This window comes from Homo sapiens, chromosome 10, assembly GCF_000001405.40.
Source record: "Homo sapiens chromosome 10, GRCh38.p14 Primary Assembly".
Taxonomy (NCBI): Eukaryota; Metazoa; Chordata; class Mammalia; order Primates; family Hominidae; genus Homo; species Homo sapiens.
The window spans coordinates 94,176,074-94,201,979 of record NC_000010.11 but is presented as its reverse complement, the minus strand read 5'-3'; the positions used below and the strand labels follow the sequence as shown (position 1 = coordinate 94,201,979).

At 41.3% G+C, this 25,906-nt stretch overlaps 1 protein-coding gene across 32 annotated transcripts in view, besides 1 other annotated feature; it reads right to left on the bottom strand.

Moving 5' to 3' along the window:
- The window catches only part of PLCE1 (phospholipase C epsilon 1), a 338,893-nt gene that overhangs the window by 130,844 nt on the left and 182,143 nt on the right, over window positions 1-25,906 (bottom strand). The gene's annotated exons all lie outside the window — the stretch shown is intronic.
- Window positions 18,252-18,321: an enhancer, noted in NCBI's record as "active region_3787". NCBI's record gives its function as "activates an Ori minimal core promoter by ATAC-STARR-seq in GM12878 lymphoblastoid cells {active_cell/tissue: GM12878}" and the evidence as "EXISTENCE:reporter gene assay evidence [ECO:0000049][PMID:35858748]".

The window sequence follows — 25,906 nt, the reverse complement described above, 5'->3', positions numbered from 1 at the left end:
TGAATGATTATCTGCTAGATTTTTATTTTTTTACCAATTCATTTTCCATATTTATTTAAGTCTTAGAAAGGAAATGCCCCCAAAATATGGTCATCTTTTTCACTGGGTATCTCAATGAACAGCAATTAAAAAAACTGTACTAAATGTTTCCCTTGGGACTCACATAATTCATTGTCATACAACCTTTACAATAACATGTTAGCCTGGGCGTGGTGGCTCACGCCTGTAATCCCAGCACTTTGGGAGGCTGAGGCAGGTGGATCACGAGGTCAGGAGATCGAGACCATCCTGGCTAACACAGTGAAACCCCGTCTCTACTAAAAAATACCAAAAAAAATTAGCCGGGCTTGGTGGCAGGCGCCTGTGGTCCCAGCTACTCAGGAGGCTGAGGCGGGAGAATGGCGTGAACCCAGGAGGCGGAGCTTGCAGTGAGCCGAGATCATGCCACTGCACTCCAGCCTGGGTGACAGAGCAAGACTCCGCTCAAAAAAATTAAAAACTTCATCAAGATTAAACTGAAATTCCTCAGAGAATATTTTTTAGTGGGGCAAATGCTGCAACCTAAGTGGCAGCATTTCTTACTTGGGTATAGCACTTTATAGTTCACAAAGCACTTCTGCTATACCACCTCACTTCTATTTCTATCTTTACAACAATCCTGAGTGAGTGGTAGGGTAGGGACTGCTGTCCCATTTACAAATGAAGAAACTGAGCTTTTTGACAAGGGCTGGTGTGGATGTGGAGCAACTGGAATATTTTTAGATTTATAGAAAAATAGCAAGAATAGTACAGAGAATTCCCATAATCCTGGCACCCAAGTCCCCGTTTATTAATGTCTTAGGTTAGCATGATACATTTGTCACAATTAATAAAATATTATTGATGCATGACTATGAACTAAATTAACTTTATTGGTTATGTCTCAGTTTTTACCTAATGTCCTTTTTCTGTTCCAGGATCCCACATCACCTTCAGTCATCATGCCTCTTTAGGCTCCTCTTGGCTATAACAGTTTCTTACACTTGCCTTATTTTTAATGACCTTGACATTTTTGAGAATTACTGGTCATGTATTTTGCAGAATCCCCTTAACTTGGGATTTGGTGACTATTTTTCTCATGGTTAGACTGGTTTAAGGTTTTGTGGGAGGAAGACCACGGAGGTCAAATGCAATTCCCATCACATTATATCCAGGGCACACACTATCAACAGAATGTGTCCCTGTTGATGTTGACCTTGATCACCTGGCTGAGGTCATATTTCTCAGCTTTCCTTACTGTAAAGTTACTCATTTTTACTCCCTTTCCCTACTGTACTTCCTGGAAGGAAGTCAATATGCATAGCTCATACTTTAACAAGTAGGGAGTTAGGCTCCACCTTCTAGAGGGTGGAGTATTCATGAGTTATTTGGAGTTCTTTTGCACAGATTTGTCTATTCTCTTTCATTTATTCTCCCCCATTTATTTATTCAATCATGTCAGCATAGAGTCAAGAATATTTATTTTATACTTTTGGTTATAATATATTTTTCCTTTACTTTGTCTTGCAAGTTGCTCCAGCTTTGGCTGTTGGGAGCTCTTTCAGTTATCTTATCTCTTTGACACACCCCATCACTTGTGTTTCCGTTGAAGCACCTCCTTACTGCTTGGCACTACCAGATGCTCCAGGCTCAGCCTGTATATTTTCTGCCTTAGTCCTACAATCAGCCATTTCTCCAAGCAGCCCTGGTTCCTTTTAATTGGAGAATGGTTTTAGAAACCAAGATCTGAGCACAAGGTGTCCTTGTTGCTACTGGGATGTCAGTTGTTTCTATGCCCTCTCAGATGACAGAGCAAGGGAATATATGTATGTTATACTAACTTGTTTATATATGTGTATCTATAGATATTTCTATATGTAACCATCTTTGTAACACACTAAGAATTAGTCCATTCTGATGTTAAGGAGGTAACGTTTGGCTTGTTTCTTACAGCTTTTTGTTTCTAACATGGAAAAAAGTGATTTTCAAATTTGAAAAAAGTTGAAATTAGTGCTTTGTCAGTTTTCTCACCAACTCTCCCAGACTCACCATAGTGGAGCATATTAGCCCTCTTTGCTGCTGTGCAGTCATCCTCAGCGCCTTACCCTGGGGACACTGCCTGGTTAGGGCTGCCTTTATTTCTTCCACAGCACGTCACATTGTCTGTCATGCTGACTCCATTCCTGCTGACTTCCATCCCACAGGGTCATTTTTCTTGACAAAACTGACTCACGCTTAATGATTTACATCTCGGTCATTTATTCATTTCTGTGAAAAGTTCAAAAACTGGAGCCAAAACAAACTCCACAATGCATCTAAGACAAACCTTTTTGCCGTCTAAGACTTGTTATAACTTATTTTGCCAAGATGTAGGGGAAAAAATGAAACATCTAGCTCATGTGGGAAACAAGTTTTGCATTGAAGTGAGCATGATCTCTATCAAACTAAGTGGCAGCATTTCTTACTTGGGTATAGCACTTTATGGTTCACAAAGCACTTCTGCTATACCACCTCACTTCTGTTTCTATCTTTACAACAATCCTGAGTGAGTGGTAGGGTAGGGACTTCTGTCCCATTTACAAATGAAGAAACTGAGATTTTTGACAAGGGCTGGTGTGGATATGGAGCAACTGGAATGTTCACACATTGTTGCTGTGAATGCCAAATGATACAGCCACTTCGCATAACGCTTCGTAAAATAATTTAGTATCTACCCAAGAAAAAACCTACATTCACCTATTTGAGAATGCTTTTAGTGGCCAATTAATAATGGCATAAAAGCTGAAAATAAATGTCCTTCAACTGGTAAATGGATAAATAAACTATGGTAGATTCATATAATGACATGCTACTCAGAACAAATTATTGACACATACAGTAACACTGAGGGATTTCTTTTTTCTTGTTTTTTTGAGACAGGGTCTCACTGTCACCCAGGCTGGAGTGTAGTGGTGTGACTTCAGCTCACTGCAGCCTCAACCTCCTGGGCTCAAGCGATCCTCCTACCTCAGCCTCCCAAGTAGCTGGGACTACAGGTGCGTGCCACCATGCCCAGATAATTTTTGTGTTTTTTGTAGACAGGAGGTTTTACATGAGGATTTGCCCAGGTTGGTCTCACACTCTTGAGCTCAAGTGATACTCCCACCTTGGCCTCCCAAAATGCTGGGATTAACAGGTGTGCATCACCATGCCTGGCTGAGGGATTTCTAATCCATCATTCTAAATGAAGAAAGCCAGGCTCAAAAGACTACCTACTGTAAGATTCTATTTCTGCTACATTCTGTCAAAGGCAAAAGGATAAAAAGAGAAATCAGATCCCAGAGGTTTGAGATAGGGGAGGAATGACTACAAAGGAGGCAAAAGGAACTTTTGGGATGAAAACTTTTGGGATCAGTATCATCCCTTTGTAATGATATTCTCTATCCTGATCGTGGTGGTCATTACGCAACTGTATGCATTGTCAAAATTCAAACTGCATGCCAAAAGGCAAATTCTATTGTATGTAAATTATAGTTCAATTTAAAAAAGGAAAGAAGATAACTGAAAAGGGGAGGATGAAAAGAAAGGTTCAAAGAAGCTAATTACCTACTAAGCAACTTATTCATATTTGCCAAGTAGAAGCAGGAATTGAGCCTAGATCTTCTACCTTCCAGTCCAGACTTCTGTTGAGAATGAACACATATTCAGGAAAAAACTGATTTTCTCTCTATCCTGTTTATACATATAATCCCAGACCAGAGTGGGAACCCTAAGTGCTGATCCCTCTCTTCTTGTTCATACTTGGAAGTGGGCTCTTACTTCCCCCACCTAGCATATACATTCATAGTCAAAGACTTAGAATGACAACAGCCAATCTATAAAGAATGAGATTATATCTTTTTTTTTTTTGGTGGGGGGTGGTTCATCAGTTCATCCAACAGGTTTCATCATCAGCTCTTTCATGTTCTTAAATTTTTTTTTTTTTTTTTTTTTTTTTTTTGAGACAGAGTCTTGCTCTGTCACCCAGGCTGGAGTGCAATGGTGCAATCTTGGCTCACTGCAACCTCCGCCTCCCAGGTTCAGGTGATTCTCCTGCCTTAGCCTCCCACGTAGCTGGAATGACAGGCTCCCGCCACCATGCCCAGCTAATTTTTGTATTTTTAGTAGAGATGGGGTTTCACCAGGTTGGCCAGGCTGGTCTTGAACTCCTGACCTCAGGTGATCCACTTGCCTTGGCCTCCCAAAGTGCTGGGATTACAGGCGTGAGCCACTGCACCCAGCCAAGAATGAGATTATATCTTAATGTCACGCTTCATTGTCAGAAATATTGCCAGAAAATATTTGAACAGAGATTTATCCAAAGAAGATATACAAATATAAGCAGGTGAAAAGATACTCAACATCATTAGCTATTTAGGAAAATGAAATCAAAACCATGAGGTATCACTTCATACCTACTAGGATGGCTGTAGGTATGTGTTGTAGGACTAGCAAGTGTTGATAGGAATGTGGATAAATCAGAACCCTCATACATTGTTGGTGGGAATGTCAAATGGTGCAGACACTTTGGAGCAGTTTGGCAATTCCTCAAAATGCTAAACATTGAGTTGTATGACCCAGCAATTCCACTCCTAGGTACATACTCAAGATAAATAAAAACATATGCTCAAACATTTTTCTTGAATTTCATAGCAGCACTATTTGTAATGGCCAAAAAGTATACATAATTCAAATGGCCATCATTATTTTTACCAATAAACAATATGTGGTATACGCACATAATGAAATATTATTCAGCCATAAAAGAAATGAAGTACTGATTCATGCTACAATGCTGATGAACCTTGAAAACACTATCTTAAGTGAAAGATGCCAGACAAAAAAGGCCACTTATTGTGTGATTCAATTTATACAAAATATCCAGAATAGGCAAATCCATTGGGACAGAAATGAGATCACTATTTTCCAGGAGCTGCAGTTAGGGAGGAATGGGGAGTGACTGCTAGTGGGTATGTGGTTTCTTTTTGGGGTGATCATCATATCCTAAAATTGATTTATGGTGATGATTATACAAGTCCGTAAATATATGAAAAAAGCCACTGACCTGTATACTTTAAATGTATGTATTATACAGTATATAAATTGTATCTCAATAAAGCTGTTACAAATATCAAACAGAAAGCAACAGGCAAACCAAAAAGATATGTTGTATAGAAAGTAGAGTGCTTTCTCTACTTCTAGCAACACTTCTAGAAGGGGTGGGGATTGGGTGTTCTGGGCTGGTGAGTCCCACCTCATTATACCTGAGTGGGGTCCTCTCTCTCAAAGTCTTTTTTTATTTTTAAATTTTATTTATTTATTTATTTTAGAGATGGGTCAGCAAAGCCCAGGCTGGTTTTGAACTCCTGGCTGCAAGTGATCCTCCTGACTTGGCTTCCCAAAGTGCTGGAATTATAGGCATAAGCCACCATGCCTGGCCCTCTCTCTAAGTCTTGCACCTGAAAGGTAGCTTATAGATCCTCCTTTTCCACTTTAAAAGGCTCTTCCCCTCGGAGCTTCTCCTGGGGCTACAGCTGCTTCTTCTCTGGGGGCACTACCCAGCTGTGACAACCAGGCTGAGGGTGGATCAGACAAGAAATCATTATCTCAAAGGAACGAAGAAGAGAACACTTTATGCTATAATACATAGGATAGAGCAACAGCAAAACTCTCACTGTAACCCTCACCCTATAGAAGGCAAGCCCCTGAGCCCAGAGTGAAGGTGTATAGCAAGGAGGTAGTGTATATAGGTTAGTTTGGATTCAGTATTACTTACAATGCACCTTATACATTAAGTATCAGAAGATTATAATAGCAATAGGTGACTTTTATTGATCACAACAACCCTAACTAGAAGGAATTATTATCCTCATTTGACAGGCTGGCAAAGGAAGGCTTAGAAAGACTTAGTAACTTGTAGATCATATAAACAATGTGGCTGGGATTCAAACTCTGAGAGTTCAAACTCTAGAGTCTAAATTCTAAGAAGCATTAGATATCATCTGGCCTAATTCTTTATCTTATGGGGCAGAAACTGATGTTCAGAGGGGCTAAAAGATTTGATCAATATGACACAGCTGGCTAGAGACAGAACAAAAGGCCTAGACTCATAATCCTGTTCAAAGTTTCCCTGACCTTTTTTAGATGTATAGTACAGATATCAAAGAAATTCCCAAAAGTCAGGATTTCATATCCAGAGTTATTTAACTATTAGAGATAATGATTAGCATCATCTAATAGTCCTAAAACTATTGCAAGCAGGTGGGTATGTATTGCTTTCTTAAGGATTTCTAAGAAAGAAGTCTTCAAAATCTTCAGGGAGTTACATGAATGTCATGATCTTTTTCTATTAGTTTCAACATCCCAGAGAAAGGAAATCACCAAGTGAAGTGTTATCCTCCTACAACATGAGTTGTGTCATATCATTCCTCTTAAAAAAAAAAGGAGCCCCTAATTCTTAGGGTGACATTCCTAGATCCAAACTTCTGCTTCTATTTCATTTCTCATGTCTCTTTACACAGGGACTTCTTTCTTGTTTGGAGAAGGCTTGGCTCTCCAGGGTTTAGGCACTTAGTCCCCAAATCACAAACTCCTAGAACTGGAAGAGCCCTATTAGAAATCCGGACCAGCCCATTGCCCTTTCTCTCTAAGGCAGTGACTCTCAGCTTGGGAGGAGATGATGACAGTCTTGGACAGGGTTAGAGCAGGGTAGCTAGAGGAGGGGAGAACATGCTATGTTTCTGAAGTATATATTCAGCGTTATAAATGGTTTTATTCATGCTAGCAAATCTATTTTGAAGTTTCAAATCATATTAAATGTGGATACAACGTTTTTTTCTTTAACATTCTGGGCCAAAGAGTGTTGAGAAAACTTTACTTTAGATAAAGTTCCTATATTCTATGAATCCAGATAAAGACAGTAGAACCAACCCTAATATCAGCACCACTATCTACCACCTTTGTAATCATCAAGGAGTTCAAAATGGTGGCCCCTGTTTCCCCCAAACTTCTTGGTAGCCTCTAAATGGAGTTTAAAATATGATAGTATTGGAAGCAAGGAAAATTTTCTTATCTGTTCTAAAAGTAAATCATTACAAGCTATTAGCTGTCTAGAATTATTATCATCATCATTAGTTATTGAGTGCTTGATTCAGGGTCAATCACCTTGGTAAACACATTTCCTCAAATTCTCTTTTAATTCTTGCAACATCCCTACATATTAGATCAATGTTATAAGCACCACTTTACAGATGAAGAGACTGAAGAATACAATAGTTAGGAAACTTGCCTGGAGTCACACTGAAAGTAAGTGGTGAGCCTTGGATCTGAATTCAAATCTGAGCCAGGGCTCTTACCCAGGGCTACTGTCTTGTGCACTAAGTGAACAGTGCCCTCTGGAATTGTGCAGAGTCTTTGCCTCTTCCTGTACAATCCAACAGTGAGTCATCCGGGTAGACAGATGTAAAAGGGGCATGAAGTGATTAATGGGGAGAAAACAGGACAGCTACATTGCAGAGACAAGCCTTGAATGTGGTTAAAATGCCTGGACACCTCTTGGTCAGCAGTGAAGAGCAACTAAAAAATTAAGAACAGAGGGCTGTCTCTTAGTATTACCATAGGGACAAAAAATGAATGTGAAAAGCAAATGAATGAATGTAACCATTTGTTAATAGTTGTTGTGTAATTCCCCACGAAAAGGATGGCAGAAACTAGGCAAATTAAGAAATTTGGTTCTGGGTGGATTTTTATTAGCAGGATATCTGGTTCTCTCATTGGCACAGATAACAAAAAGTCACTTGTATCTGACTCCCTAATAGGCATCTTGCCTTGTTTGGAATAAGAACAGTAACTAAGTTTCTGCATCTAGTTTGAAATCCCACTTGAATATCATTATACTTTAAAACAGTGTGAAGTAAACATCTTTTAACTGTTAAGAGATGTTAATAAAGAAATCACACTGTAAAATGTAATAAAAAAATGCTTTAAAAAAAGACAATTTCATTCTACACTTTCTGTGACTTTAGCCTGCTTATCTCATCCATTGGTTGGTGACCAAGCTATTGAGCACCCAGCAGGGAAGCCCGCCTGGTGTTTATATGACAGTAGAGCGAATTTGTTTCAACTTACTTGCAGAAGTGGATTTCAGAGGAAGGGATTTGACAAAGTTGTTAAACCCCGTGGAGGCAGAAGAGGAAAGCTGGGATGGTTACAGAGCTAAGCACTGTCATTTTGAAATTCGTTTTGGCCCCCAGAGTATAAATACACCTCAGTATTTTTGTTAGGATTGCCAGAAAATCAGCAAGTGCTCACTTTCTTTTGCCAACAAAAGCATGACTCTCTGTGCAAAAATTTTCTGCACATTGTATAAACAAGAACATTCAGAAAATCCCCTCTTGCTGAGAGATATGACAAGAGATATATTAAACCATGCTGTAAAATAAAGCAGATACTAAGTACACCACTGTGTTCATCAAACACAAGAAAAGCTTTTATATATCCCTTCTGCCACAAACTTCTACATGTCATCCTATCCCCCAAAATATCTCCCCATACTGTGCTGGTCTGAGGATGGTGGCTTTCACCATCCAGGCTTTCACCTTTGTTTGCTGTGAGTCTTCTCCAATAGGCATTACCTAATCCATTACCTACATTTTCTCACCACTGCACCCTAGTTTCCCATCCCTGCAGGCTATTGTGTTGGCGGTCTCCAAGTGATCCATGACCTCCTATCCAAATCTCAGGCTAAAACTTTTCTTCCTCACAGAACCTTCCAGTTCAAAAAAGGCCATTGGAAGATCTTAATCAGGAGTTGGCAAACTTTTTCTGTAAAGGGCCAGATGATAAGTATTTTAGCCTTTGTGAGCCATTTGATCTTTGTTGCAACTACTCAGCCCTGACACTGTAGCACAAAAGCAGCTGTAGCCAACACATAAATGAGCATAGCTGTGCTATAATAAAATTGTATTTATGGACACTGAAATTTGAGCTTCATATAATTTTCACCTATCGCAAAATAGTATCCTTTTAGTTTTTCCAAGATCAGATGAGAGCGGGTGCGTTCCAGATGGGATGGCCGTAGACTGATTTTTAAAATTGTTAAAAATGAGATGCTTGTGAGGCTATGGAGAAAAGGGAACACTGCATTGTTGGTGAGAATGTAAATTAGTTCAGCCACTGTGAAAAGTAGTTTAGAGACTTCTCAAAGAACTTAAAATAGAACTACTATTCGACCCAGCAATCTCATTGCTGGGTATATACCCAAAGAAAAAGAAATCGTTCTACCAAAAAGACACATGCACTTGCATGTTAATTGCAGCACTATTTACAATAGGAAAACATGGAATCAAGCTAGGTGCCCATCAATGGTGGATTGGATATACGTATATACCATGGAATACTACACAGCCATAAAAAAGAATGAAATCATGTCCTCTGCAGCAACATAGATGCAGCTAAAGGCTATTGTCCTAAGTGAATTAATGCAGGAACAGAAAACCAAATACTGCATGTTCTCACTTAAAAGTGGGAGCTAAACACTGGGTACACATGGACATAAAGATGGCAACAGTAGACATTGGAAACTACTAGAGGGGGAAGAGAGGGAGGTGGGCAAAGGCTGAAAAACTACCTATTGGGTACTATGCTCACTACCTGGGTGACAGGATCATTTGTACCCCAAACCTCAAGTGTCATACAGCACACCCATGAAACAAACCTGCACATACATCCACTGAATTTAAAATAAAAGTTGAAATTATAAAAACAAAATACACTTTAAAAAGTTCTCACCATAAAAGTGATAAGCATTTGAGGTGACGGATATGTTAATTAGCTTGATTTAATCATTCCTCATCGTTCACATCTATCATAACATCACTTTGCACTCCATATATATATAATTATGTCAATTTACAATTAAATTTTTAAAAATTGTTAAAAATGTAAAAAACATTATTAGCTCACAGGATGTGCAAAAACAGGAGATGGGAAGGATTTGGTTTGATGTAGGTCATCCTCTCAGCTAAAACCAGGGGTTTCTTCCCAGCTTTGCAGCTGGGCAGCCAGGCTCTGTGTGAAATTTCTCCAGTTATAAGAAACTCACTACTTCAACAGGCAGCCTTTTCTAAGGCTGAGATGAAATAACTGGACCTAGCTCTGCCTACTAAAGACACAACAAATAACTCAACTTCATCTTTATGGCAACCCTTAAAATATTGAAATGTACCTGTCTTGACCATCTTGGAAGTCTCCTGTGTAGGAAGTCCAAGTTTCTTTTTTTCCTTATCCCCCACTTTTTTTTTCTGAGAAAGGGTCTCACTCTGTTCCCCAGGCTGGAATGCAGTGGCACGAACTCAGCTCACTGCAGACTCAACCTCCCGCACTCAAGTGATCCTCCCACCTCAGGCTCCCTGAATAGCTGGGACTACAGGCACGTACCCCACACCTGGGTAATTTTTTATTATTTGTAGAGACCGGGTCTCGCTATGTCGCCCAGGCTCGTCTCAAACTCCTGGACACAAGTGATCCTCCTGCCTTGGCCTCCCAAAGTGCTGGGATCACAGACATGAGCGCCTGTGCCCGTCCAGCCCAAGTTTCTTTAACTACTGTTGTACAACATGGTTTTTCTGTTTGGGGCAGGGGGGGTCCTCTCTGCTCTAGTGAAATTCTCCTGCAAATGTCAATTCAAGTGTGCCCACTTTAGGGAGAGGAGAGTAATGTTATGCCATTCCACAATGTTTGCCATTGTGCCATTCTGAATGCTCTGTTAATGTACTTCTCAGCTTCCCTGGCTCAGGGTAATATGATAATCATCTTTAAAATTTTTCCCCATTGGTTTTTCTTTTTTCTTTTAGTCACCCTATGAGGCTGGGGCCCCTTAATTTCTCATCACCCACACTTGCCTGATTCTCTTGTGATGCCCACATGATCCTTCTCACTGGATCCTTTTATGATCTGCCATGTCAGGGGGTGTTACCAAAGCTTGATCCTTGAAGCCTGTGATCTCTCTCCCACTTTATGTCTTAGAAGACAGATTCTCATGGCTCGCTCATCCCTTCTATAACAATTATTCCAAAACTGTATCTGCATCACCAATCTAGCACACGAGCTCCATGCTCCCGCCTTGCACTGCCTAGTAGGCATCCATTTAAAGATCATACTTTACTCTCATCCTAGAACCAACATGTACCAAACTAGATATTTCTTCACAAGATGATGACGATGATGATGATAATAGTCACAATGGAGATAGCAATTAGCACTTGTTGAACACCTACTATGTGCCAGGCACTATCCTGAGCTAAGGATTCATTATCTTTCGTTGTTGTTGTTGTTTTTTGAGTTAGGGTGTCACTCTGGCAGCCAGGCTGGAGTACAGTGGAACAATCCTAGCTCATTGCAGCCTCTTATTACTGGGCTCAAGTGATCTTCCTGTCTCAGCCTCCCCAGTAGCTGGTACTACAGGCGTGTGCCACAATGCCCAGTTAGTTTTTAAATTTGTAGAGACAAGGTCTTGCTGTTTTTCCCAGGCTGGTCTTAAACTGCTAGCCTGAAGCAATCCTTTTGCCTCAGTCTCCCAAAGCACTGAAATTACAGGCATGAGCCACAGTGCCCAGCCAGGATTCATTATCTTTTTAAAAAAACGTAATTAATTAATTTAATTTTGAGACAACGTTGGGCTCTATCAGCCAGACTGGAGTACAGTAGCGCCATCTTGGCTCACTGCAACCTCTGCCTCCTGGGCACAAGCCATCCTCCCACCTCAGCCTCCTGAGTAGCTGGGATCACAGGGGGGCACTACCACGCCTGTAACTTCTGTATTTTTTTATAGATGGGGTTTCACCATGTTGCCCAGGCTGGTCTCGAACTTGTGAGCTCAAGCAGTCCACCCATTGGGATTATAGGCATGAGCCACTGCACTCGGCTTGGATACATTCTTTCTAAACCTTTACAAGAATCTATGAAGAAACTACTCTTAGTCCCCTTTTATAATTGCAGAAATAGGCTCAGGGAAGTAATTTGGCCAAATACACTGCTAATAAGTAACAGGGTTAGGATTTGAACCTTTGAGTGTATGAATTAAAGCACATGCTCTTGACCTCTTTGGCTGGTCTTTGTAACCCAAAATGATGTCATGGGTGCTCCACTTATTCCGAAAGCCACGCTTGGAAAGCCTGAATTCAGTCTTGACCCCTCCCTCTCCTTCAGCCTCCCTATGTGAACAGTCACTGAATTACTGGGACTCTTTCTTCTAGGCATCTGGGAGCCATTTTTCCCTTATATTCTCACTGTCATCCTAAATCAGGCCCCTTGTCATCTTCTGTTGTTTACTGCAACTCTCTCCTGATGGATCTTCCTGCACCCAGGTCTTCAGTCCATCATGCATGATCCTGCCCAGAATATGTTTGAGCAAGCTGGGTCTCTCACTTGAGACATCTTCCTGGCATCTATATCTTTTTATTCATTTATTTGATCCACCTTAGAACTGTCCAGCCCTCACTTGCCTGGGGTCCTCATCTTGTGGGGAGAGGAGGGAAGGGATACTAGAATGTATGTCAACTGCCAGGTAATTTAAATATTTCACAGGTGAATCTTTTTTCCTTTATATATATTTAATATCTATATTATATGTATGTGTACTATATATTATATAATATATATTAAATATGGACTATATTAATATTATATATCTATGTCTATATATAGTCTTTAGTAGTTTCAAGAGTGGTGTGTTTTGGAAAATTGGAGAAAGATTAGGAAAATAAAGTTCCAGGTTAAGTATATTTGAGAAATGCTGGTGAGTTAAAAGTGTCTTTATGACTGGACTTCTTCAGCCTTCAGTATACTAACATGCATGGCGACTATCAATACACAAGTGGAAAGAGCTGCAAAAGGGTATTTGAAATTCACTGGACCACAAATTTTTTTTTTTTTTTTTTTTTTTTTACTTTCTCCTACTGAGCATATTGAGAAACCAGGGTTCTGTAGAACAATTCTTAAGAAAAACTACTCTAGGAATGTCTATCAAAATGCTATACAGGGCTGGGCATGGTGGCTCATGCCTGTAATCCTGGCACTTTGGGAGGCCAAGGCAGGTGGATCACCTGAGGTCAGGAGTTTGAGACCAGCCTGACCAACATGGTGAAACGCCATCTCTATTAAATTCAAAAAATTAGCCGGGAGTGGTGGCACATGCCTGTAGACCCAGCTACTTGGGAGGCTGGGGCAGGAGAACTGTTTGAACCCAGGAGGTGGAGGTCGCAGTGAGCCAAGATTGTGCCATTGCGCTCCAGCCTGGACAACAAGAGCGAAGCTCCATCTAAAAAGCAAAACAAAACAAAACAAAACAAACAAACGAACAAACCAAACCAAGCTATGCAGGCTGCAGGAGTGAAAGTCAGCAGTGATGGACAGTAGGAGCCCAGGACGTGGAGTCAGAAGGATAGGCCGGAGTCCAAGAGCCACACAGAGAGGCCGTGTAAGGGTTAATGTCATAATGTATGTGAAAGGCTCTGCTTAAGTGTAAAGCTGTGGTGTAAATGTGCACATTAGTTGACAAATGGTTTAAATTTAAGTATACTTCAAATTTTTTCCCTAAGATTGGTTGTTGGTTTCCATAGCTAAAAATTAAGAAAACATATTTTATACAGCAACAGAGAACTTCTTAGGAATTATTAAAGGACTATAAATATACAGGTTTTTTATTCTCTCTACTTATAGGGAATATTTGTTGCATTTGTACACTTGATTGACCCAAATAGAGAACTATCACAAATACAAGACAAATTTTACTTTTCATTGAGGAGAATATTTTACAAATTACAAAATGACTTATAACAAGACCACTATAACATGAATTATGGTGCTGGGGGGTGGGAGGATGTGATTTAAGGGAACTGGGACCTCATGGTAGCTGTGAGTACCTAGGGAAGGGGGCAAGTGGGTTCCATGGTAGCTGTGCGTACCTAGGGACCAGGGCAGTGAGATGGAGAAAAGAAGAGGGGGTTGTAGGGGCTGGAAATGTCAACAAACTTCTTGGCTGGATTTTTGTCTAGGGCCAGTCCGGCATGTTTTCCACCCTAATGATTTACATACAACTTTAGTGTCTGTCTAACTTTCAAAGTATGAGGTGTGATGAAAAGGAATGAAACTTGTGTTCGCGTGAGGCTTATGGAATCTGAATCGTGGGATTAAGATTTCACCTTGTAAGTCCATGTGCCAGGGCAGGAGGGATCCAGACTCATCACCCACAGCATCTGTACTGCTTTGACCTGCGGCTGAGTCCTCATTCTTTCCCTGCTCCTTCCCTGGCCCTTGAGGAATCTGTGGCCAAGCTGCTTGGGGAGGCTGAGGCATTAAGGCCCAGACCCACCTCCTCTACTACAGTTTCCAAAAGCACACTCTGTAATGGGTACCGAGCCATCGGGTATCCAGTACCCAAGTATTTTTATGAAATACTCATTCTGAGGGAGTCACCATGTACCTCAGCATAAGTCCATGAGAAGTCCTGCAGTGAAACAAACAACTTACTTATCATTGCTTTCCTAGCATGTGGCTTATGTGTTAGATGATGGGGCACTGTTTTTACACGGAATGAATACTGACATCCCATATCATGTTGGGAGATACTGCCCTGCCCTCACTTGGTTACCCCTAAACTCCCTTCCAACAAACCAGAATTTAATGCCCATGTTTCTTTATTCATGATATTTCCTATTACAAGTATTTATATTGCAACTAGATGCAGTAATGTGTGTGCACGCACACACACACACACACACACACACACACACACACATATATGTTTCATCTTGGCTTAGCCACTTTCAACCTATGTGATATTGGGCAAATTCTGTAGCCTTTCATTACTTATTAATTATTATCATTTTTTTAGCCCCATGTCTTAATTTATCTGTAGCCTCTCTCTCAGTTTTGTTATTTGTAAAATAAAGCCATGGCTCCCACCTTTCAGGGTTGTGTAAAAGCTAAATGAGATTAGGGTTGTAAAGTGTTTGGCTCAGTGCCCAGTGCAAGGCACAGGATTCACAGCAGCTTCATCATCACTCTCTCCATCATTATCATCATATCAACGAATGCGAGAGAAATTAGATGTCCTCAAGTAGCTAATTGTCAAATTAAGTTTTTTTCCCTTTTGATAAGATAATTTGACTTGCATATCAATTATGTATCTTGGTTTTAGGAAGAGGTTTCACAGAGGAGACACAAAATGGAGAAACATTTGTTGGATGATTGTAGAGTTAAGGAGATTCACATCCAGTTGAAAAAATGTTCTGTTAGGCCAACCCGATGAATAGTCTCTAGTGACATGCCATAAGGCTTTCTATTAATTCCTATTAGATTTGACATTTTTACCAACAATTTGAACAAATATACATGGCACATATTTATCAAATCTGAATATGAAAAAATCTAGAGTGTTAGTTAATTCAATACAGAGCTGAATTAAGATTCAAAATTATTTTGATAGGCCTGAATGCCCCAAAATTAAAATGTAGTAGACTTAAATATAAAATACTATGCCCATGTGAGAAAATAATAAATGAAACAACCTATGCAGAGAAATGATGAGCTTGATGGCTGTTTATATGATAAAAGTCTAGCAGTTTTAGTTGATCATCAACCAGGCTAATAATTAGAGCTAATAGAGAAAAGCAATTAATTTAGCAGGAATTAAGAGCGGAGAATTACCCAATTGAGAGAAGGAAGAGACTCACTGTTCAGAACAGATGAGGAAGCCCCATTTTTACCTTTTGCCAGATGACGTAAGTTCTGAAGATATGGGGAATGTCCAGCCTCAAGAGAACCAAACCAAAGGAAGATATAATTTTTACTATTCCTCCTGGGGACTGACAAGTGGAATTTGTAAGGAGAAAGAATTCCGCCTGTTTTAAGGAAGACTGTTAAAACAAATCGAGCCGCATCCTCACAATGAGTTTGTTGAAATGGAGCGAAGTCCGTCTTCAAAAGTTTTTAGCAAAAGCTGGGCAAGAAGCTGCAAGGAAGGGATTCTTACATTTGGTGAATGACATGAGTCCACATTACCTCCAAAACTTCATCAGTGTGAAAGTTCAGAGCTGTGCCTGACAAAAGCCTTCCCAATCTCCAAAGCTCTGAAGCCTTTGGTCATCCTCAATGGAGATGTGCCTGTGTGATCTCCCTCTTCAAATCTCATGGCATGCACAGTCTTTATCTCTCATTCTGCACAAATCACACTAGTTACCATTTATTGAGAACCTATCCTGTACTTGATTTTATATATGTTATCTTGTTTAAGTGTCCCCATAACCATGTGAAATTAATTAAATTATCCCACTTCATAGATGAGAAATATGAAGCTAAATTCTGTTTTTTAAATCACTCACTTGCCCAGGGTCCCACAGTAAGTGGCAGAACCCCATGTTCATGCCCAGACATTTTTTTTTCTTTTTAGGTGGAGTTTCACTCTTGTGGCCCAGGCTAGAGTGCAGTGGCACAAACTCAGCTCACTGCAACCTCTGCCTCCTGGGTTCAAGTGATTCTCCTGCCTCAGACTCCCAAGTAGCTGGGATTACAGGCACACACTACCATGCCTGGCTAATTTTTTGTACTTTTAGTAGAGACAGGGTTTCACCCTATTAGCCAGGGTGGTCTCAAACTCCTGATCTCAGGTGATCCACCTCAGCCTCTTAAAATGCTGGTTATTACAGGCGTGAGCCACTGTGGCCGTATGCCCAAACTTAATGATGGAATTATACTCTTTCCTCTTTCTACTAACTCATGGCACTTCTCTAACCATGATCTCTTACACAATAGTTCATGCCTGGCATTGCTTTATCCCCTTTTGTGTATATTTATTCATTATTTTATGTCTTGTATGCCTTGAACTAGATTGTAAATTCCTCGAACAAAATGACCCATGTCTTGCTTTTCTTTGTATTTCTAACAGTACCTAATAGGATAATTATTTACACTAATTAGCATTATTCATAAAATACTATTACACATCTACTATATAGATGGTACCATGCATAAAAACCAGAGATATAGCAATGAACAAGTTAGAAAAGTTTCTAGCCTAAGGAGATAGAAAAAAAAAAATAAGCAAGTCAAGTTCCCTGGCTCTTGAGCTAAGACATGACCAAGGGAAGGCAGTAGCTGTGATATGGTCTGAGAAAGAAGGTCTTTTGCAGAGGCAACAACAACTGCAGAGGCTATGTACAGAAAACTAACTTGGCATGTCCAGGGAACAGAATGAAAGGTTGTGTGGCTAAAACAGAGCCAGAGAGAGGGGTGAGTGTATAAAGTTAGGTTGGAGGGCCGGGCGTGGTGGCTCGTGCCTATAATCCCAGCACTTTGGGAGGCTGAGGCAGGCAGATCACCTAAGGACAGGAGTTCAAAACCAGCCTGGCCAACATAGTGAAAGCCTGTCTCTACGAAAAATACAAAAATTAGCTGGGCATGGTGGCAGGTGCCTGTAATCCCAGCGACTAGAGAGGCTGAGGCAGGACAATCACTTCAACCCAGGAGGTGGAGGTTGCAGTGAGCTGACCGTCGTGCCATTGCACTCCAGCCTGGGCAACAAGGGCAAAACTCCATTTCTAAATAAATAAATAAATAAAGTTAAGTTGGAGAAGTAGGCAGGAGCAAAACCATGCAGGGTCTTGTTATCTTGGATTTTATTTCAAACGCAAAGGGGGGCCGTTGAAGGGACACTTAGCAGGGGAGTTACCTTTATGCTTATAAATGATCACCCCGATTGTTGGGTGGAGAATGGATTATAGCATTTGTCAGCATGAAAGCAGTGCTGGAGATAAGTGCAATGATGGCTGGTTTCAACCTAGCTTAGCAGATGAAATACTAAGGAATAGGCCAATTCAGGGGGTATTTTGCAAGTAATGCAAATGAAACTTGCTGATAGTTTATGCTATGGTTTGGATGTTTGCCCTGTTCAAATCTCATGTTGAAATGTGATCCCCAATGTTGGGGCCTCGTGGGAGGTGCTGGATCATGGGGTGGATCCCTTATGAATAGCTTAGTGCCATCCCCTTGGTGATGAGTAAGTTCTCACTCATTTAGTTCACTCAAGATCTGGTTGTTTTAAGAGTCTGGGACATCCCCCTTTTCTCTCTCTTGCTCTCATTCTTGCCCCATGACGTGCCTCCTCCTGTTTCACCTCCCGCCATGAGTAAAAGCTCCGAGGCCTCACCAGAAGTGGATGCCAGCACCACATTTCCTGTAAAGCCTGTAGAAGCATGAGCCAATTAAACCTCTTTTCTTCATACATTACCCAGCCTCAGGTATCTCTCTATAGCAATGCAAGAATAGCCTAGTACAGTTTAGATGTCAGGGTTTGAGGAAAGAGTAAATCAATCAAACTCTGGTTGATGGCCTGAACACTTCAGTTGACACTGAAGCTGCTAAGTGAGATGGGGAGGGCAGCAGCACTGGGTGAGGGGGGAAGGTCCTGGATGGTATGTGAATGGTGTGGAGGGAGAAGTTAATTCTATTTTGGCCATATTTGAGATGTCTTTTAGACATGACTAGAATGTAAGCTCAGTGGGGCAGGAGCTTTGTCTGTGTTGTTCTGTGCCATATTCCCCATGCACAAAACAGCATTTAGTACAAAAGTTGGTACTGAAATCTTGTTGAACAAAAAAAGCCAAGGTGAGGCATTGAGAAGGCAGTTGGATTTATGAATGTTTAAATCTTTTGGGCAAATGCAGATCCTCAGTAAAGCATAAATACATTCCTCCTTGGCTCTCACATGTGCAGTAAAAATCTCTAAAAGTGGTTTTTCAAAGAGCAGAATTAAACATCCTAATAGGGTCAGCTAATGCCGTCCTGAAAAGAGGCTCAAAATCCTAATCTCTGACCAAAGCTGACCTGATCTTTCCCACAGTGTTCAGAGTCATTTAAGTGATCTGATGGCAAAGGCCTTGAGGAACTGCTGCAGTGCTTCTCTGGGTCATGTTTATTATTTTTAATAGTAATAACACTGCTCACATAGGTCAAAATTCCTATTCATCTATTTGCTGATTTCCACCGGATCCATTATTGTTTCTACCAGTCTCAGGACAGAGGTGTTAACTGATACCTGCTTTAAAACAGAATTAAACATGTCTCCAATAAGTCAATGGCTTTGACAGTTAACTTTCTGGGCCAGTTAAATTCTAGAGACACAATGTGAGCTTTAAGAAGGAGAACTAAGAATTAAGATAGCCTATTATAGTAATAAAATAGTCTAAATATTAAAGGTTTCAAAATCACATCCTCCATTTTGTAGTACTATGAGCAAACAATGAAAAAAATACAGAAAGAAAGGAAAGAAGAAAAGGAAGGAATGAAGGAAAGAAGAAAGAAAAGAAATGAAGATGGGGCCAGGCATGGTAGCTCAGGCTTATAATCCCAGCACTTTGGGAGGCCAAGGCAGGTGGATTGCTTAAGGCCAGGAGTTTGAGGCCAGCCTGGCCAACATGGTGAAACCCCATCTCTACTAAAAAAAAAAAAAAAAATTATCCAAGGGTGGTGGTGCACATCTGTGATCCAGCTACTCGGGAGGCTGAGGCACGAGAATTGCTTGAACCTGGGAGGCGGAGGTTGTAGTGAGCCGAGATCATACCATTGCACTCCAGCCTGGGTGACAGTCAGACTCTGTCTCAAAAAATAAAATAAAATAAAAAAGAAATGAAGGCAGGGAAAACAACCCATTACATTTATTTAAATGTACGTGGAACAATTCTCAAGTATCTGCACTAATGGATGACCCCAAAGATAGAAACCATTTTCCTCCTGTTTCAAAATGAAGTCCTCCATGGCAGTACTATGAGCAAAAAATGAAAAAAAAAAAAAACAGAAAGAAAAGGAAGGAAGACATTTTCCTCCTATTTGCTTTGGGATACAGCTTTGTTCTCTTTGAGTACTGCTGTGACTGATGTTCTAGAGCAGTGATTCTCAACTATTGGTGTGTTGGTAGCATCAGCGTTATCTCGTGAAGTTATGTTTTTTCCTTTTTGTTATTTTAAATTTTAGAGAAAGGGTCTCACTCTATCATTCAGACTGGAGTATAGTGGCATGATCCTACCTCACTGCAGCCTCAATTCCTGGGCCCAAATGTTCCTCCCACCTCAGCCTCCCCAGTAGCTGGAACTACAGGTATGCACCACCATGCCCTGTCAATTTTTTAATTTTTTGTAGATACAGGATCTTGCTATGTTGGTCTTGAACTTCTGGTTTGTCTTGAACTCCTGGACTCAAGCAACCCTCCTGCCTCAGATGCCTAAACTACTAGGATTGTAGGAGTGAGCCACTATGCCTGGCCTTCATGGAGCTTTTTATCTTTTTATTTTATTTTATTTTATTTTATTTTTTTGAGACAGAGTCTTGCTCTGTCACCCAGGCTGGAGTGCAGTGGTGTGATCTCGGCTCACTGCAAGCTCCGCCTCCTGGGTTCACGCCATTCTCCTGCCTCAGCCTCCCGAGTAGCTGGGACTACAGGCGCCTGCCACCACGCCCGGCTAATTTTTTTTTGTATTTTTTAGTAGAGACGGGGTTTCACCATTTTGGCCAGGATGGTCTCGATCTCCTGACCTTGTGATCCACCCATGTTGGCCTCCCAAAGTGCTGGGATTACAGGCGTGAGCCACCGCACCCGGCCCATGGAGCTTTTCAAAATTATAAATGCCTGGGCCCCACCTTGCATCCACGGAGGCAGAATCTCTTGGGGGTGGGCTACGGATACGTGCACATTTTAAAAATATTCTGATTCCCATTGTCTTCATTCCGCTGATCAGTGAGAACTACTGTTCAAGGAAGTCACATTAGATGGTTGAAGAATGAGTGCATGCGTGCCAGTCCTGTCTGACAAGGTGCAAGGCAGCCCCTTCCCACTGCCTCCTCCTGCTGCCCCAACTGGGAGCACAGGTAGGACTTAAGATTTTGAATTTCAAAGCTATCTGTCTTAGTCCATTTTGTGCTGCTATAAGAGAATACCACTGTGTAATGTATAAAGAGTGGAAATTTATTTTCTCATAGTTCTGAGCCTGGGAGCTCCACAAGGTGCTAACAATTTCAGTTGTCTGGTGACAGCTGCATCCTCTGAAGGGGACACTGTGTCCTCACATGGCAGAAGGTGAAAGGGCAAGTAAGCTGAATGCTGCATGAAGTCTCTTTTACAAGGGCCTTAATCCCATTGACGATGGAGGAGCCCTCACAGCCTAATCACCTCTTAGAGGTCCCAACTCTTAATCCCACCACAGTGGCAACACCTGAGTTTTGGAGTAAACACATTCAAATCATAGCACCATCACCGCTAAGGGTGTGGGTTTCATGTAAAATAGGAATGAACAGACAGAGAGGTGGAAAAATGTAGTAGAAATGATGTGGTCAAGAGAGGAATATAAATAAACTCCTTTAGATTTTGGGGGCAATCTTTCTCAGGCATTTCACACCAAAGGAAACCTCAGAGCCAAGAAGGGAACTTGAAAAGCCAAAAATCTGAAATCTGCCTTCTGCCTGGTGCTGTGGAAATGATAAATTATCCCCCATGCTCTAATATTCTCAGACATTGAGATGCTGTTGTCCTCCCTATTTCAAGGGCCACAATCTCCTAGTTCAAAGGAGATGCTGCATTTACAATATCAGGAAGTCAGCACATAGGTTAAAATCAACAAACAGGTCAACATTTTTACACATATTGAAATCATAAAAAAATTCTGAATCCTATTGCGAGGAAAATGGTTTCATTTAGAGTAAGAGAACCGAGTGGTGGAAAGAAGGTCCCTCAGCTTTTGATTCAAAAGTATCAAGCAGATGAGCCAAGAATGCTGGCTCTGGAAGCCAGAACAACTGGGTTCAACTGTCACCTCTGAAACCACAGGTCATTCATTTAGTCTCTCTGTGTCTCAGTTTTCTCACCTGTTAAGTGGGGGTGATCATAATAATAAAAAACGGAATTTATTATCATTAGTTATTCTAATAATGCTGTTATGTTAGTGGTTTTTTTTTTTTTTGGGAACTAACATCAAACCACTACTGTGTCTTTGGTCCCTGATAAGTGCTTTAAACATGTCATTTCTCTGAATACTCATATAAAGCATTTGGGGTAGATATATTATTAGCCCCATTTAAAGATGAGAGATTAGGCCGGGTGTGGTGACGTACGTCTGAAATCCCAGCACATTGGGAGGCCAAGGCAGGTGGATCTCTGGAGCTCAGGAGTTTGAGGCCAGCCTGGACAACACAGTGAAATCCCATCTCTACTAAAAATACAAAAATTAGCCAGGCGAGGTGGTGTGCACCTGTAGTCCCAACTATTTGGGAGGCTGAGGTGGGAGGATCGCTTGAGCCTGAGAGGCTGAGGCTGCACTGAGCAAAGATCAGCCACTGTACTCCAGCCTGGGCAACAGAGACCCTGTCAAAAAAAAAAAAAAAAAACTAAACTAAAATAAAAATAAGATAAAGATGAAGGGTTAGGTATCTGGCTTGAGGTTGCACAGCTGGGAATGGTGGATCAGAACCCAGGCAGCCTGACTCCAGAGCTGCACCTGAATGATGTCAAGCCTCCATGCCCCTCTTATTTCTCAGCCCTACGTGTTACTCTGGGTGAGGAAAGCCCTGTGTGGGTGCTGACTGCCAGGAACCATGAGACATGATTTGCTGTCAATCAGCTTCAGGATGGAAGTGCCATCTACAGCTAACCTTGCACTTAGGATGCCGCCCTGCACAGCTGAGTTTCTGTAGTTTATTTGCCTACTGTATTTTTTTTAGTCAAGAAATTTCTGGAGTAAAATATCTGTTACTCCTGGAATGTGCTGTGAAATGTTCCAGGGAAAGAATACAATATCTGCTCTGAGAGGGGAGATGTGCTTTGTCAAGGAAAAATTTGATTTTCCAAAGTGAGCTGAAATTTCCCTTACCCTGAGGGGGTTTTTATCAGCAGTTTATCCTGTGAGTGTTCAGATTTGAGGAAGGAAGTTTGTAAAGCAGCCCTGAACAGATGATTTGCTCTGCTGTCTGCTTTTATAAAAGAGGGGGAAAACTTTGATTGAGACGTTTCTAAACATGGTTCAATATACAAATTCAAAAACCAATATTTTTTCTAAAACATTTCAAGTGAAAGAACCTATTTGGACATGACACTGCCTCACATCGTTATAATATGCTATGCTTTCTGCTTACTGTGCTGAAATGGTCTTTCCATAGCTATGACCAGACAGGCTTTTAGATGCTGGAATCTGCCAAAGCGATCATCATTGCTATGAAGTATATAAGGAATTCTGGCTGAAAGCTCAAACGGCTCTTCTTTGACCAGATGGTTTATTTATTCTTACTACTCTTTACCAGGAAGTTAAGCTGCATCTTGGCATTCTTTACAGAGAGGATGGCCTTTAAACTGTTGAACTGACATCTGGTGAAACCTACTGGACAGAAGGAACAAGCAACAACTGATTGTCACTTTGGGCTGCCCAAGATTGCATGGCTCAGGGAAGCTAGCTGATGAATGCTCAGGTTGACCACACAGAATTGGGGAGGGGAAAAGACACCCAGGGCAGAGCCACATGGAGGCCTTGTAGAAGCTGCTGGGGTCTCAATAGAACTGGGGGTCTCAATCTAGGACTCATGACCTACCCTCAGACCAGCTGGTCTGAAAGAGAAGCCCTGCTGAATGGTGTTGCCAAGAACCACCCAACAAGCAAAAACTGCCCTCTTAGGACATAGAAAAAAGTGAACCTGCTTATGGCCCCTTGAAAATCACTTTCCAGCCAGAGATATCAACTGTCTGTTACACAAAAGAGTGCCTGGAAGTGGTGTGGGTGGTGACAGGTTATGAAGTCAAAAATTTGCTTGTGTGATCGATCCCAAGGACCAGCTGTAGATGCAATGAAGGGTTCCAACCCCCAAAATCATCATTGGTGAACAACACAACAAGAGCAAAGGACATATTAAGGAGACATGAAGTTTGAGAACTAGCAACTCAGAACTGTGATGCCAAGATCCTCCCCCTCACTCCACGTTCCACCAAAGTGCTTCTCAGGAAAGAGGGGAGAGGTAGTGAAGGGAGGAAGGATGCCCTGCAATCTCGATTTGCCTCTCCTCTCTTTTCACCTGCATGCACTAAAGTATGTAATCTTTTTGGTAAAATTGTCTATAAAAATGCCTCTGCATTTCCTCTAGAAAAGATAAAGGGCTTGGGAATTTATTTTAGGAGGAATTTTTTAAAAGTAAGGTCATAAGGAATGTGGGCTAGAGGTATAAGCTAGATGCAGGAAGATGAAGGATAGGAAAAAAGAACAATATGATTTGAGACTGTCAAAGTGAGAGATTTCGTGGGTGGTCAAGAAGTGAGGCTGCTCCACCTGAAAGGAGAGAGAAAGAACACTGGCTTCTAAGAGCTTCAGATCAGGAATATGACTACAGAGAGGTGTCCAGATTAAGAAAGTTCGGGAAGACCTGTCTCTCAAACTAAGCAAAGCAGGATGAAGCCTACGTTCAACACAAATCTTGACTAGCTCTGCCTGAGGACTGACCCCTCCTTGTGCTTCTGTTTCTTTTCAAGGATAAAGAGAGACTGCCTTTAAGAAGTTTCTCTAGTGTGTGCATCACAGTCTAATAGGGCATGAGAAGGGGGAATGGGGAGGAAACACTGCTTCCAAGCCACAATCCAAACTGATTTTAAATGATTTATCTCCAGGCCTTCATTAATGTAAGCTGAACCTTTTCAGTAATTTCATGGTCGTACTTTGAGTTGCATTTTAACCATGCTTTCCTAAGAATAAACATTATGCAAAACTGCCCAAAAAGTATTAGGAATTTTCTTCCTTTTTCTCACATTACAGTTAAGTCATTGTGTAGAGAGTTGTTAGAATATAGAAACTTCTAGCTCATAAGCGTGGTTCTGGGGGCAATCTGGAACAAGCTGCCTCCCTAAACCATGAGTCTTGCTCATGACAAAAACTGTCTGATTGTCTTCTTGTCTGGACTGCCTTCCATTTCCATGAACTTCCCCCTCTATTCCTCCCATCTCTCAAGACCCAGCCCCAGACTCGAGGGCTCAGCAGAATGAGCTCTTGTCACCCACCTGGACACCCCAGCCTTCTCTGTTGGTGCCACTCTCACTGCACTTACTTTCTGCCTTTTTTGGTAGATATTTGTGTCCATGTCTCATAGCTTCTGGCAGACTGCTATTTACTTTCCTTAGTGCATATCTACCACAGTACACTGCTTCTAAGAAGTCCTGGATTAACTGAATGGATGCACGAGTAAATGCATTCACTTCCCCCCACCCCAAGTGACTAGCACCGGCAATGGAGCTAATATTCTCTTTCTTGTCTTTAAGATACTATAACATTCCAAGGAATATACATCTTTCCACTGAGGAAAGTGCATTTATTTTGTGTATCCAATTTTGGCAGAATCAAAGTATGGGCTTATAACATCAATTTTCACCATATACTGCTAATTTCTTATTTTTAAAAAATATGTTTGACATGCCAATGGAAAAAAAGAGAAGACGAGAGAACAGTAGGTGCTCAATGTGTCTGTTTTTTGAGACAGGGACTTACTCTGTTGCTCAGGCTGAAGTGCAGTAGTACGATCTTGGCTCACTGCAGCCTCGACCTCCCAGGATCAGGCAATCCTCCCACCTCAGCCTCCCAAGTAGCTGAGACCACAGGCATGCACCACCATGCCTGGCTAATTTTTTGTACTTTTTGTGGAGATGAGGTTTTGCTATGTTCCCCAGGCTGGTCTCAAACTCCTGGGCTCAGGCCATCTGCCTGCCTCAGGCTCCCAAATTGCTAGGATTATAGGTATGAGCTGCTATGCCCAGCCAATAAGTATGTCTTCAGTGATCTCGCAACCCCACTTCTAGGTA